The 16483-nt window shown below is 42.4% G+C and overlaps 1 long non-coding RNA gene across 2 annotated transcripts in view; it reads right to left on the bottom strand.

Annotated features, from left to right (window-relative positions):
• Positions 1-16483, bottom strand: part of LOC101927182 (uncharacterized) — a 204657-nt gene that overhangs the window by 114237 nt on the left and 73937 nt on the right. For both annotated transcript variants that reach the window (XR_001754611.2, XR_001754609.2), the window contains exon 2: positions 2998-3122. This is a non-coding gene — a long non-coding RNA (uncharacterized LOC101927182). The remainder of the gene's footprint in view (positions 1-2997; positions 3123-16483) is intronic.

Raw genomic sequence — 16483 nt, 5'->3', positions numbered from 1 at the left:
GGAAATTAGGATCATAGCATTCATGTGAATTTTCTTTCATTGGCATAAAATGACTTCTAATAATTATATTTACCTTGTACTATACTTTTTTACTGATGTTAATATTGTCACTCCTAGTCTCAGTTTTTATTTTTAGCATTTTTTTTTTTTTGCCTCTTTTAGGTGAAGCTTTGACAAATAGCTATAATTGGCTTTGGTGGATTCTAAACCAAATCTAAGACAGATCTTCTTTTAATGGAGGAATTTAATCCATTTACTGTCATGTTTGGCCTTCACGTATTTAACTGATACATTTAATTTGTGTCAGTCAAATCAACTTTTGACTCAGGCAGTTTTTGTTGTAAAAAGTGTCTTCTAAGTTGTATAGACCAGTCCTTCACCTGTTTTTGCCCTCATGCCCATCCCTGCCCTTTCCGTTGCTTATTTGGTATCACAGTAGGGCTGACCCATACAGGCTGCATTTTCCAGGTTCCCTCATCCGCTCCCTTCAGGATAGGTTTGGCCAGAGATACAGACTGGCAGAAGATTGCAGTGTGGAAAGCAAGAAGAAGGGTATTTCCCCCTCTTCCTTGCCTTGACTGCATCCCTTCTGTGACTCCAACTTGGGCTGGACAAGGCTCCCTCTTTTTCCAGTTTCTACTTGGTGATCCCTGCCCCTGGGCGCAGTGACACTGCTTCCATCTTTTGTCCCTACAGCCCAGAATTTCCATTCTCTGTCCTCCATATATCCTCCCCATTGATAACTACCTTCTTTCCCTGGGCTTTTTCTCTACATTCCAGGAGATCTTCTTAACTGCATCTTCCTTAACACCAACTCCATTTTCTGCAATATTATTTATTTTCTTTACTGCTTCTAATCCCAATACAAGTTTTATTAAGCTATTGGATTTTACAGGTATTTACAATCTTTATCTCAATTTCTGCTTGCATCTTAGCAACTCTTTTAATCTTACTATGTCATCTGTCGTTTCTTGTATCTCAGCGTTCAAATTTACTGAGAACACAAAAAGACGCATCCTAGTAAATGCCTTTATTAACTATTTTATATTTTTTCAAGACATTTTTCTTCTGAATCTAGTATTCTCCTTTTTATGTCTCAGAAAAATCTTCAAGGTCTCTTGTTTTGTTTTTCCTATTATTCATGCTTGATAAAGGAGAAAGCTGGTCAGGCATGTTGCCAGTACATAGTTTGGATGGATCTTCTTTGGTCCTTGTTATTAACTACATGACTATAATTAGAATCCACATCTAGACCTTAAGCTGAGGGCTGATTAATATGCACAGATTCCAAATTCCTAGTGGTACAGTCCTTATTCTCATGTGTATTCTAGACCAGAATGGGCTGACTTCGGAACATGTGGAGGGAATATTCTGGGATAATTGTATGCAGCCGTCTCTGCTTTAGGAAAAGCAATGCATGGACATTTACATTCACCAGCATATAACTGTCTCACAGGTCTCTCTAGCTCTACTCTTTCATAGATTTCACAGTCAATTTCGTTGATTTCACAGTCTGGTATTGGTATGGCCTGAATGTGCACCCCAAAATTCATATGTTGAAACTTAATCACCCAAATGATAGTGTTAACAGGTGGGGCCTTTAAAAGGTGATTAAGTCATGAAAGCAAAACCTTCATGCATGGGATTACGGCATTTTAAAAGGGCTTGAGGGAGTGGGTGTTTTCTCTTCCACTCTTCTGCCATGAGAGGACACAGTGTCCATCCCATCTGGAAGATGCAGCAAGAAGGAGCCATCCTGGAAGCAGAGAGCAGCCGTCACCAGACACCAGATGTTAGCGCCTTGATATTAGACTTCCAGATCCTCAGAACCATGAAAAAATCCATTTATCTTCCTTATAAATTACCTAGTCTATGGCATTTTGTTTTAGCAGCACAAACAGACTAAGACACATATGCAAAGATCCATATCCTGTTTTCATCTGCCACGATCCCTTCCTGCTTTTTTAATTTCTAGAAAGTTTAAATTAGTCCCACAAATGGTAAATCAATAGAAGTGATAATAGGGAGTGCTGGAGGTTAAATGGCCTCAGAAACAGCTTCTGTGTAGTAAGTGCGGGTTTCTCTCCTTTTGTTCAGTGGAGACACTGCCTTTAAGGCAGGAAGTAGATAGGAGTAATAACTGAAAATCTCCTATCATGTATTTTTCTGTTCTTTTGCCCAAGAGTATCATCCTTGCTTTACTAAGTAAAAACTCCACCCAAGGCCCAGAATCCATGTTACCAAAAAGTAGTAGTGGTTTCTGTGTCTTCATGAGAAGTGCCACGGGTGAGGAGAAAAGGGAACCCAAGTGCCACAGCCAGATGCCACCTGAATCTGGAAGTCCCACCTATGTTATCTGAACAACCACTTCCTTCTCCCTCTCTAGCTTTCCCACTTAATCCATAGGGTCCCTGTCCAAAGGGAATGTCAAAATGTTATCCCATCTAAACTCCTTCCTCCTAAGAGGTCAGTGTTGACCTGCCCCACGTCTGGAGTTCTCAAACCATCCATTCCACATTCATAACTTTCCAGCCTAGCCCTTTATTCACTTAAGGGTATGGGGGGCTACCCAAACCCACTCCCCATATTGGTATCCTGCTATCCCTACAACATATCATATTCAAATTCTTGTACTCAAGCAGATTATTGTGGAATTGCCTGCTGATTCAGCATTCTATGATGTTGACCCAGACTGAATAAACAATAAATAAAAATACCAAAATAATGTTACTGTTTCAACTAATTCATTTGTCAGGAACTAAGAATTCACATAGTAATGGGAATAGAGGAAATAGATGTTAACAGATATTTTGAAATTTATTATGACTTAAGGAACAACACATTATTATTTACTCCCCTACCCACCAACTTCCTAAAATTTCTGTATGCACTTTACTCTAGCATTTGTTCAATTATAGCTTATTTTTTAATTATTCAGGTGTGTATTTACCTCCCAGTTAGGTTCCATGTTCATCCAGGGCATGAATGACAACTTACTTGTCTTTATGTCCACAGTATAGTGTGCTCAATTCTCACCAGAAGGACAAGCTAGGAACTGATGGGTTGGGTCCTGTAGAGGCAGGACTAGCAGGTGCATCTCTGACCTGGAGCCGCAGGTGTCCCTGAATAGTACAAGGGGCAAAATAAGAATCGGATGAGGCAGGACAAGGGGTATTAGAAGAGGAACTAAATGTAGTTTTCAAAATAAGAATGAAGATCTTAGGGCAGATATTATGAACTAGAACACAAACCAGGATGTCTAAAAACTAAGAAGAAGAAAAAGGAGCAGAAGCAGAGGACAGGACTACTATCTCTATTTAGCATGAATGATGGACACACAAGTTATGCCTAAAAATCAGAGCCACAGTGGATCAGAGTCTCAGTGAATGTTAATTAAATTGACACAACCAAAATGAATTATGAAAAGTAATAACCTTCAGTTCCCTCAAACTTCTCCCAGAAATCCCCCCAAAATTATATAAAAGTTATTTTATATCTAATAACTGCAAAAAAAAAAAAAAAGGCTTGGGGTATAGGATTTGAAATTGCACAGATATGTCGCTTCATGATTCCCTACTCATTTTATCCGTCCATGATCTTGGGCTGACCTTTCTGAGCTCAGTTTCCTTAGCTGTAAAATAAGGATAATAGTGCCCATGTCACGGGGCTTTTTAGAGGAGTGAATCACGTAGAAAGTATCTAGCACACCAGAATCATTCAATAAATGCTGGCTTCCATCCCCCTTCATCAGCGGCCTTGGGAGTCTAATGAGGCTAAAGCAGGGATGCTTACTTAACAATTTGGAGCAAAGAAGCCCTGGTGAGCAGACATGCATTCCTGATTTCATTACGTGCCAGAAGATGAAAATGAACAGCCCTGCGGATTGTGCCCCATCCCTCGCAGCTGCCTCTCTGCTGAGGGATTTACATTCTGTGTGATTAAGCCTGAAATGGACAGGAAGCTTTATTGTGCTAGGCTGGCATGGCCTGGAGGAGCAAATTGATAAAGATGCCTGGGTCAGTGGCAAGCTGGGTGGTTCCTAATTTATAAAAACACCTCGAGTTCCATTACTCAGCCCCTTCTTTTCTGCTCCTACCTCCCCACCCTTCCTGTTCAACGCTTCTCTTCCCCTCCTTGCAAAATGGTGACTTATTTATGAAAGGAAAAGGGATTTACTCATAAAGATAAGGCATCAGCCAAACCCACAGCAAGGACATTTCTAGAGAAGCAACATCTGGTGAACAGCAAACATTTGCTGAACTCTTTGTACCCGGTGCTGGGATGTCGGTGATATGACCAGTGACCAGGTTAGGTCCTGCCTCAGCTTTCTGAACACTTAACTTCTTTGTTTCCTCTTTAAAAAATAAATAAATAAATAAAAATAAAAAATATATTAAAAATTTTTTTTAAAAATTAAAAAATGGGATAGTGCTAGTTCCTGTCTTACGGATAGTGGATGCTCAATAAAAAGTAGCATTTAGGCTGGGCGCGGTGGCTCACGCCTGCAATCCCAGCACTTTGGGAGGCTGAGGCAAGTGGATCAGTTGAGATCAGAAGTTCAAAACCAGCCTGACCAACATGGTGAAACCCCGTCTCTACTAAAAATTAAAAAAAAAACTAGCCTGGTGTGGTGGTGTGTGCCTGTAATCCCAGCTACTGGGGAGGCTGAGGCAGGAGGATCACTTGAACTCAGAAGGCAGAGGTTGCAGTGAGCCGAGATTGTGCCATTGCACTCCAGCCTGGGTAACAGAGTGAGACTCTGTCTTAAATAAATAAATAAATAAATAAATAAATAAATAAATAAATATTTAAAGTAGCATTTATCATCATCATTGTCCACCCAGGCTTCCAGATTCCAAACCTTGGCATCTTCCTTAAGATAACCCTCCCCAATGACCCCAGATTGGCAGAAAATATCTCACCCCCTCTCAGGGCAACTCTGTTAGTTCATTTCTCCACTGGGTTTTTGCTTCAGAGGAGGAGGGAAGGGGAGAGAAAGGAAGATCAGGGGAGTGGGGTGTAGGGGAGGGGAGAGTGCTAATATTCACTGGGAAACTCCTTTGGATCAGGCAGCATGGCAGTCATTTCAGACCATTCCAGTTAGCAGCCTCCTGGTCAGGGTCCCTGCCTTGGGTCTCACCCTTTCCTTCAATCCTACACATCAGCCAAGATCTATTTCTCACACACAGTTCTGATCTTATTAGTTCCTGAACTGAAATCTTCGAGAGTTTCTTATGGGCTGTCAGATGAAGGGCATGGTCCTCAGTCTAGCAGCCTAGGCTCTTCATAGTCTGGTCCCAGGAGAACACCTCATACTCTCACCACCAATGCTTCAGTCAGTCCGCCTAGATTGCTTACGTTCTGAGGAATCAGCTTTCACGTCCCCTATGCTTTTGCTCACGCAAATTTTCACTGAGATTGCTTTGAGCTTACTCATAAGTTTGGGAAGGACTGACATCTTTACACTTTTGATTGACTCTTCCAATCCAGGACCATGATATGTCTCTTCATTGATTCCAGCCATTCTTCATGGCTTTCAGTAAAGTATTGTATTTGCTTTCATATAAATCTGGACTATTTTTAGTTAATTACCCAGAGTTTTATATTGTTTTTATTGCTGCTATTATAAATGGGATCCTTTTATATGTATTTTCTAATTACATATTTCTAATCAATGGAAATGCTATTTTTCTTCATGTTCATCTTACATCCCACTACCTTACTGAACACTCCTATTAGCATCAACTACTTTTAGCTGAGTCTCTTGAATTTTTTATATAGACAGACATGTCACTTATAAATCATGGTATTTTTTAGGCTAAACAAGTATGGTAAATTTATCATGAGGATATTGAGGCACCTCACTAAACCCAAAGGCTCAGGAAAAACTAGAATTAGAGTCTCAAATGCCATGAGGATTCTCTCCATATCTCCTATAAACCCAAATTTAACACTTTTATGTTAATTTATTTTTATATGAGTTAAAGTTTACAATTCTTTCCTTGTTTATTTCAACTAGTTTATGCATTAATGCAAAAGATCTTCATGTTATAAAAATACGTATGTATACAAACTGAGCTAAGGATTACTTTTTAAAGACATGCTTTTCAAAATTGTCTGAAAATTCAAACAATGTAAAATAAATTTGTGGGTTTTATTCGACACTGAGATGCATAGATGTTGGTCCATACATAAGCTGTAATCCATTTTTTCTTCTTTCATTTTTTAAAATAACATGCAGGAAAACTGGCATACGGTTCTACGAGTTTCAACACATACACAGATTTGTATAACCACCACCACAATAAGGATGCAGAACAATTCCAAACAATTCCTTTGTGCTGCCCTTTTTTAGTCAATACCTCTTCCCATCCCCAAACCCCGGCAAGCCCTGATCTGTCCTCCATTACTATAATTTTGCCTTTTCCAAGATGTCATATAAATGGAATCATACAAACTGTGGCATTTTGGATCTTCCTAATATTTAGATCTCCTTTTGTATTTTTCTTATCTTACTGCTTTGGCTAGGATGCCACTGGATCCTTTCGGTTTATTTTTGCCTCCCAACTAGACTTTGGGATTCCACATAGTGAAAGTAGTGTCTCCTTCACTACTTCGACCAATTCTTCGCCAATGTAGGTGCTCACTATGTGTTTCTGGAATACATAAAGGCATTATTATCAATAGATGGGCTTCCTCTGGGGGCACCACGTAAGCTTCCCCAAAACCAAAACCCTTTCCCAAGAAAAGATATGTTCTAGCACCTAGCTGGCCCATGGGCCTGTAAAGAAATCCCCCAACCCATCTTCATTAATTTGTCAAGACACATACAAAAACATCTGCCTATTACATGCTCACTGTGCCACATGGAACTGTCAGCCTCTAATTAGAACTAATTAGCTAATGTGGGCTTCAAATTTGGAAGACAAGAAGTTTTGCCTGTGTTCTCAATTGGTGTTAATTATCCTGGAAACCTATTTCAACCCAAAGTCTCCCTCAAAGCATTGAGATGCTCTTTCCCACAGAGGCTCCAGGAGGTAACCAGTGTGATACTGGCTGACAGTTAACAAGACTCTCTTGTATCAAGACCTTAGGGAGAGAAGGACTCATGGCTCTCTACGGAGCTCTATTAATGCTTCCCCCTCAAGAAGACTTTTGTGAAGAATTCAGGATATTCTGGCAATTCCAGAATAGGAGTTTCAAGCTCAACAGCAAATGGAAATCAAATTAGGAGGGGCTGGGTCTAGAACCAGATGTCCCCATTAATGGGGCAGCAGGAAGAGTACCCCAAATCACTTGAGGAGTCCATTTGAGGGGTTGCAATCCAAAAGATATATCCCCTTTCCTAGACTTTGTGGGATGACTGCCTCTTGTACTTGCCAAAAAATGAATGTAACAACTTCTTGTCTTGGGAGAAATTTGTAGTATTTCACACAGAAGGATATATTATGAGAGCATATACATCAAGGCTTCCTGTTCATCTGGTGGTCAGTGCTGGCCTCCCATAGTGTGTGGGGTTTTCCCTTTGTTTCAGAGCCATTGATAAATCTGGATCTATCTACCTACCCAGGTCATGGCCAGAGCAAGGCTCAGAGTTTATGCTGATTCTGGTTGAGCAGCGTGCAAATCGAATTTCCACCATTGAGACACATCCTACTTTATCACCCCTGTGAAATACCCCTACCTCTCACTCAGTGGTTATTCAGGGCCAGTAATGCAGGGAGTCCCCAACAAATGTGATGGGGATAGGACAACGATTGGCTTATGGTAACAGCTTCAGAATCTAAAATTTACTTCTACCCTAACCTCAGCACCAGGAAAAAATAATAAGGCATTAAAGACATAAGTAAATTTTTAAAAATAATTCTTAAAAATCTGGTCCTTTATTAGCTATACTTAGATAAAAGTGAGGTGAGGGAAAAAAAAGGTAGAGGGGGTGGTCATTTTTTCTTCTCATAACAAATCTATTTCTTTCATTGGACTGGATCCTTTCTAATTTGAATTGGTTCAAATTGGAGCTAAATATCTGCAGGTAGGGGTCCTGGGGAAGACAAAAGCATACCAATTAATATGCATTGGAATCACCTGGATATGGTATTAAACTACAGATCCTGGGTGAGCAGGTCCAGGGTGAGGATGAAGGTTCTTCATTTCTAAGAAGCTACTAGGTAATGGTGATGCCACAGACCAGCCGTCCCCAACCTTTTTAGCACCAAGGACCAGTTTTGTGAAAATTTTTCCACAGTCAGGGGGATGGTTTCAGGATGATTCAAGTGCACTACATTTAGTGTGCACTTTATTTTTATTACACTGTAATATATAATGAAATAATCATACAACTTACCATAAAGTAGAATCAGTTGGAGCCCTGAGCTTGTTTTCCTAAAACTAGCTGGTCCCATCTGGAAGTGATGGGAAACAGTGACATCATCAGGCATTAAATCCTTTTTTTTTTTTTTGGTTTTGGTGTTGTTTTGTTTTGAGACTGAGTCTCGCTCTCTTGCCCAGGCTGGAGTACAGTGGCATGATCTCGGCTCACCACAACCTCTCCTCCTGGGTTCAAGTGATTCTCCTGCCTCAGCCTCCCATGTAGCTGGGACTATAGGCGTGCGCCACCATGCCCGGCTAATTTTTGTATTTTTAGTAGAGACAGGGTTTCACTGTGCTGGCCAGGCTGGTCTTGAACTCCTGACCTCGTGATCCACCCGCCTCGGCCTCCCAAAGTGCTAAGATTACAGGTGTGAGCCACTGTACCCGGCCAGGCATTAGATTCTTGTAAGGAGTGCACAACCTAGATCTCTCGCTTTAGCAGTTCACAATAGGGTTCTCACTTCTATGAGAATCTAATGCCACTGCTGATCTGACAGGAGGCAGAGCTCAGGCAGTAATGCTCGCTGGCCTGCCACTCACCTCCTGCTGGTGTGGCCTACTTCCTAACAGGCCACAGACTGGTATTGGTCCATGGCCCAGGGGTTGGGGACCCCTGCTGTAGACCACACTTCTTGAGTAGCAGGTTGTATTCATTTCCTATTGCTGCTGTAACAAATTACCACAAGCTTAATGGCTTAAAATAACATAAATTTATTCTCCTACAGTTGCATAAATCAGAAAGCTGAAAACAGGTCTTACTGGGCTAAAATAAAGGGGTCAGCTGGGCTCTGCTCCTTCTGGAGGCTCCAGGGAGAATACTTTCCTTGCCTTTTCCAGTTTCTAGGGATGCCCACATTCCTTGGCTCATGGCCCCTTCCAGAAATGACAGCACTCCATCCTCTGCTTCTATCACATCACCTTCTTTAAATCTGACCCCTGCCTCCCTCTTATGAAGACCCTTGTCATTACATTGACTCCCACATGGATAATCCAGGATAATCTTCGCATCTCAGGAACCTTAATTTAATCACATCTGCAAAGTCTTTTTTGCCATATAAGATGATATGTTCAGAGATTCTGGGGATTCAGTCATGAACATTTTGAGGGGAAAGGTGATTACTATTCTGTCTACCACCCAAGGGATCAGTTCATCTGAAGAAGATTGAGAAGGGCACAGTGGTAATTGGGTAGATAGATGGTGGGTATTTGGAGTAGGTTGGGATCATACAATGACGAGGGGCTGCAATGAGGCACTATTTCTAGTTCCTTGCATTTGGGCAGATGAGGGAGCAGGCCACAATAGCTACCAGAGAGTCTGAGAGTAGGTACTGGGCCCTGGGATGAAATTAAGACAGGTCTTTAGGGACTGCAAGGGGGCATAGTTAGGGGCCTGGGACTGACCAACTCTAAAAGTGATGGAAGGCTTAACCTGCCACATGGCTATTCCAAGTCTCATTTGACTAAAGACATGAATCTAAAAAGTTCTTGGCTTCTCTCCCTCACTACCTCAACTCCCAGTGGGACCTGCTTCTCCGGCCCTAATGATGACCAGCAAGGAGGAACTGGTTGGCAAACTGTAAGTGACAGATGCCTTGAGGGAAAGTGACTGTATCAGCTCAGGGTTCCTAATGGCTGAGAAAAGGTTGGACACACATCCTGAAACTGAAAGCAGCTTTCAGAAAGTCCTAATAAAAACTGTCATCAGATGTGACAGAGATGACGACTCAGGGCAGCTCTCAAAGCCCCAGTTCTGAGCATTTGTGGCTCCAGGAAGAGAGGTGGAGCCTACACATAGAGATCTCCCCAGGGACTTGAGTTTTGAAAAGTCAGGTGAAGATGGAAAATTGACACATCACCAAGGGCTGGCTGGTATGAGTGTGACACTGATGGGTAAAATGGATAGGGAAGCTAAAGCCCCAAGGAACTGGGACTGAAAAATTGTTCAAAATATGATAGGGTTCTGTGGCTTGGTTTAGAAGATCAAGGAGATCTGCTTGCATGAGAGGAGGCCAGTGCCTGGGTCTTGGCTGGACATTCTCATTCACCCACCCTTGCCCCACCCTGCCCATCCCTACTCTCCTATGAATCCCAAGAGAATGACTTCTATGGCTCTATCACCAACCTCTCTTGCTCTCTGGTTTCAGCTAGGCTTAGCCAATAAAAAACACAAGGAGGAGATAGAAGAGTGGACGTAGAGGAAAGCCAAGACATTTATTTTCTTAAGTCCTGCTAAACCAGAGTAAGCCACGGCTGCATTCCCCTACCCAAGGCCACAGCTCCTACCACTTGGCCCTCTCCTAAAATTATAGGTCTCTTTTGGGTTCTGCTAATGCTACTCAGCAGGGTGGGGAAGGAGCCGGCTGGAAAACCTTTTCTCCTGACCCCAGAGCCAGTCCTTGGCTCTTCTATCAGCTACTATGGACCCTCCCTGGGCCCTGGGCTCCCCCGATGTTCACCAAGGAGCAATACTCAGGACTTTAGACACCACTTTTCAAGGCCATGCATATTGGCTTAGCAGACCATAGCAACAAGAGCCAACAATTGTCACATACGTACTCCATGCAGGTCGCTGCTCAATCATGTGCCTTGTACTCACCCATCTAATCCTTGCTACAATGCTACAGGGTTGTCCTTTGCTGTGCTAGGAGATGGATGCAGAGGTCAGCTATGGTCCCTTCCCTTCAGGAAACTCAAAGTCTAAAGGGGGAGACAGGCAAGCTCACAGAAATCTCAGTGTATTTATATATAATAAAAACAACAGTAAAGCTTTGATGAGTGTTTGCTACTTGTCAGGCCTTCATTTGGATCATTTGATTTTTCACAGCCGCACTATGAAGTAAAGGAGTGTTGTTACCATTTTTACAATGAGAAAACTCAGGCTTAGAGAGCTGGTGATTTACAAATGCAAGGGGTTTCAAAGAAGCTGAATGCAGGTCTTTCTGACTCTAGAGCTGGTACTTTTAACCCTCTCATTACATCATGCCACCTGCATGTGAATGTGTGTCTCCATGCTGCACAAAAGGGACCACCACTCCTGGCTTTTGGAGAAAATAGGTAATCAATATAAATCTATATGGAGAGATATATATGTTAGATGGATAATATGCAGAAATATGGTTTTAATAAAAGAGCAATTAGCAAAGTATCAATTGGCTACATAGCTATTCCCAAAGGATTAGGGTCCATCTGGTAGAGAGATCCCCAATGATACACAGTAGGGGCAGGCAACCCGTGTGTGTGTCAAAGTTAGGCACACACCCTGTGGCATCTTAGGGCAGAACAAGGCAGTGGCTGTTCCCTCCCTAGGCTGACAGCTCCATGGCACTTTGAGCAAGTAACTTGGTGGGGTGAATCTCTCTCTTGCCCCCTATTCTAATACCCTGGGCAAGAACATTGCAGTTCCTGAGGAGGGTTGCCTGTCCATCATAGGTTGGAACAGCAGGCCATGCAAGGGGCACATGGATTCATTCCCCAGCTTCTCCAATCAGGCCCCATCTTCATTTTGCAAACTTTGCAGAATGTGCTTGGCAAATTCTGTACCCTGATAGTGTGCCATGGAGCTTGAGCTTTGTTCTTGGATTTATTCTGTCCCAAACTATTGTTGGTGACTTGTAGAAAGATGTAATCTGCCTAGTGATACAGGTGTAAATGTCAGGGGAAAAAGAACAAAAACTAAGAGCCACAGAGAAACATTGTAAGGAGAGATTTCTGCTCATTCTCAGGAATCTCTCTCCACTCATCAGTGGGAGAATGGATTTTACCTACTAGAGGTCTAAGGGGATAGAACTTAAAAGTGCGTTCCCTTGTGACTGGAGATGTTCAAGCACAGAGGTTGGCATGGGTGCATTATGGCATTGACTCCCCCAGAGATGGGTGATTGAAGAGCTTGTGAGGTTGTGAGTTTCCATCTTGTTTGCCCAAGGCAGATATTTTGAGCTCTTCAAGAAAAAGCCTTTCTTTTCTCCTGGCTGGGTCTAACCCCTAGGTCTTGGCCTTCATGGCATCCCTGGTCCCCTTCCCTCAGCGCGCCCAGCACCAGTGCCTCTAACCTGCCTTATTCCCTATCTGTTAGTGCTGCCCTCTTCACACCACCTCTCAGGGAGCCCAGAGCACAATTTTCCCACATTCCCACCTCCCTTTCCCTCTCCCAAGGCACCCATGCTGTCTGCTCGACACCTCCTCCCCTCAATCATAGTTGTGGGTGATTCTGTGGGTGTCTATGTTCAGGCACTGATATGTCTACAAACTAGGACTCATTTAAAAGGAAACAAGATATATTCAAAGCTTGAAAAATTCCCCCAGAGTTTGGCAAAGTCTCATTTCTTTCTGGAAAACAATGTAGCCTGAAGCAGATTCTGTCTTTACATTTTGGGTGGGATAGGAAGAAGCTCTGATCTGAGGTGGTGAGGGACTCAGAAACCAGACCTGGTTCCTTAATAAAGGATGTGTGGTTTTCAAAAAGTCACTTCCCCTCTCTGAGCCTCAGTTTCCTCAATTATAAAATAATGGGACTGGATTAAGAGATCACTCAAGATCCTTCTGATTTTATACTTTCATTTTACTTGGCATGTTCTGTTCCCAAATAGTCCTGGAACTCAACAGCCATGCCAACCACTAGAATGAAGGCTTTGGCTCTACTTATATAACTCAGCCTTTCACCCCCAAAGCAGCTCTTTCTCCTGTATTCATCCTGGTTGGCTTCCTTCACCCAGTAACTTAAACCTAAAAAATCACCTAGACTTTTTGAGTCTCACTCTTTGTCATAGCCCATAGCTGATCAATCACCAAGTTCTATCTATGCTAATTTTTAAAAATCTCTTGTGTGTAAACTTTCTTCCCCAGCCCATTGGCCTTGCCCAGTTCAGGCCCCTATCAACTCTCATAGATTTTTGAAACAGTTTCCTACCTGATTTCCTGACACCAGTGGTTATATTCCCTCCTATACCAGCTGCTAGAGTTAAAAGCCCCAAAAACACAAAACTGTGCTCAACATCCCCGCCCCAAGAATCTTCAGTGGCTCCCCACAGTCTAGAAAATAATACCTAAATGTGTACCCTGCCCTTCAAGGCTTTGTGATCTAAAACCCTGTCTATGTATCTGTCAGAGACTCAAAAATGATAAGGACAATAATGTTACATTTTTTTGTGCCAAGCTCTGTGCAAGAACTTTACATGGAATATCTCAAGTCACAACTCAGCGAAGTCAGCCTGGCTGCAGGTGTTTCCAATCACTCCTTGACTTTAAGGAACTTGAAATATTTTGGATTCTGATGTGCCCTCTCAATTCCAGTATCCATATACCCTAAAGCTCAAATTAGACATGTTACATCATTCGCAGAAAAAAAAATCTAGGTCCCTATCAAGAGAACCATGAAAATGCAGAATAATATGGGGGCAGGTATCCTAAAGCAATTAGCTAAGAATAAAGATAAACCAGTATGTCATCACATAACCGTTTAGCTTCATGCAGATTGCGGTCAAGATACCAAGAATTAGGAGAGGGAATTGAATTCAAAATTTTTTGCAGCTTCTTCTTCCAGTTAATTCTAATTCTCTTTGAAAATTAGGCTTCCATATGGTTAATATTAGGGCTCTGTAACATTAGGAATCTGCAGCCTTAGCTCATTAATACTCATTAACAGGGAAGGCTCATAATAATAACCCTTCGCATCTGTGCGGCCCTTTATGGTTTTAAAGTGACGCCATATGCATTATCTCATTTAATTGCCTTTAATCCTTGGGATTTAGGGTTCAGCTAAATATGTTCACTGACTGAGGATAGGGATAACCCCACTCAGGGATCATAGGGGAAGATGAGAAGACAAGGGGTGCCTGTGATGTAATGAAGAGATGCAGGGGGTAAATTAGTGAAGTGTAACGCTCTGAATTACAGAATATTTTTAAAAGCAATGCTGTCAAGACTGCTTGCAGGGAAATAAAGGAACAGAAAAAGATCTATCTTTAATGAACAGCTAAGAGTTCACTTATAATTAGCACATCAGAGTGTGGCCCACTGAAGACTGGCCTTGGCTTCTTTTGCAGCAATGTGCTTGAAAAACCATAATCTCTACCTGGATAAATATCTTTCCTGCCCTTTGCCTTCATTTTTTTCATAAGCCAAGGGTGATGCTCCCCCTTGTGCAGTGTGGACACACACATTCACATACATGTGGTGTAATAAGAGGGTTAAAAGTGCTAGTTCTGGCATCAGAAAGACCTGCACTCAGCTCCTTTGAAACTTCTGGCATTTCCAAGTCACACTCACTCTGTAAGCTTGAGTTACCTCAGCTGTAAAAATGGTAATAATACTTCTTTACTTCATAGTTGGCTATAAAAAAATCAAATCAATTAACCCAAATGAAGACTTGACAAGTAGCAAATCTTCACCAAAGTGTTACTATTGTTTTGATATTATTATTATTATTTTGTATAGACAGGATCTCACTATGTTGCCCAGGCTGGTCTTAAACTCCTGACCTCAAGCAATCCTCCTACCTCAGCCTCTCAAAGTGCTAGGATTACAGGCATGAACCACTGTGCACAGCCTATTGTTATTTAAATACACTGAGATTTCTGTGAGCTTGCCTGTCTCCCCCTCTAGACTTTGAGTTTCCCCTAGGGCAGAGATCACAGCTGACCTCTGCATCCATCTCATAGCACAGCAAAGGACAACCCATAGCATTGCAGCAAGGATCAGGTGGGTCAATCCAAGGCACTTAACTGAAAAGTGACCAGCACCGAGTAAGTACGTGATAACTGTCGGCTCTTGTTGCTATGGTCTGTCAAGCCAATATGCGTGGCCTTGAAAAGTGTCTAAAGTCCTGAGCAATGCTCCTTGGTGAATATTTGGGGAGCCAAAGTCCATAGAGTTCCATAGTAGCTGATGGAAGAGCCAGTGACTAGCCCTGGGGTCAGAAGAGAGGGTTCCCCAGCTGGCAATCCCCTTATGTTGCTGTGGAACTCCAGGCAGCTCACTTGCTCTCCAGGCCTACATTTCCCCATCTTTTAACTGAAAGTAGAGTAGGAGGCTCCTTAATGACCTCCCAACTTGAGACTGTACACTACAAGGCTAGAGTTGTTAATGGGCTTGTATGGGCCTGCCTTCTAGTAAGTGTGTTACCACAAAAAAATACACTGAATCTTTCTGAGCACCAGTTGCAGCCTGTGTAAATGGGAAGTGATATTGTCTGCATTGAATAGTTGTAAGGAAAAAATGAAGTGAGCTATGAGAGCCAATAACCATCTCAGTCTTTGGAAACACATGGTGATAAGCAGCTATTCTTCCAACAAGCTTACCTGTAGATGACGTCAGTCTCACAGGTTAGGTTCTCAAGATGTGGCCTCCAGACCAGCAGCATCACCATCACCTGAGAACTTGTTATAAATGGAAATGCTCCAGCCCTTCTTGAGAGCTCCTGAATCAGAAACCCTGAGGGTGGGGCCCGCCATCTGTTTTAACCAGCCCTCCAGGTAATCCTAATGCACACTTAAGTTGGAAAACCACAGCTCTGCAAAGGTCGGTGATGGGGAAATGGGCTATATCTGTTAAACTGAGGCAACTGGAGCACTGGAGATCAGAAGTCTGTGTCAGATCCTGACCGTACTACTTACTATCTATGGAAAGTTGAACAAATAATTTACCACCTGTTAGCCTCAGTTCCCTGATCTTTGAATGAATATAATGACCATCCTTCCAAGTCCTTCTAGTTTCTCAGGGATTACAATACCTCCTAGAGTGGCTTTGTGGAATTAACATGCACAGAGTAATGTCTTGGCCTTGCATAGAGTTCCAGCTGTCAGATTTTTGTTTACTCTCCCCTCCCCTCTGGTCAAACAATTTTCTTCATATTTCACTGAAAATGCTCAATTCTTTTTGACCTTTGCAGTTTGCTCCTGCTGTTCACTTTATCTTGGTGCTCCTTAAATGTTAATATGGCACATGAAGTACTTGGATAGCCCATTAAAATGCAGATTCTGATTTCTCAGGTCTGGGGTGGAGTCTGAGATTCCGCATTTCTAACAAGTTCCCAAGCGTTGCTGATGCTACCAGTTTGTAGACCACACTTTGAGTAATAAAGATCTAGCCCACATGACCATCTCCCAATGTCCACCTA

The sequence above is a fragment of the Homo sapiens genome, chromosome 20 (assembly GCF_000001405.40).
Source record: "Homo sapiens chromosome 20, GRCh38.p14 Primary Assembly".
In the NCBI taxonomy this organism is placed as follows: Eukaryota; Metazoa; Chordata; class Mammalia; order Primates; family Hominidae; genus Homo; species Homo sapiens.
Note: the sequence above shows the minus strand (reverse complement) of the source record. Positions and strands in the feature narration are given on the sequence as shown.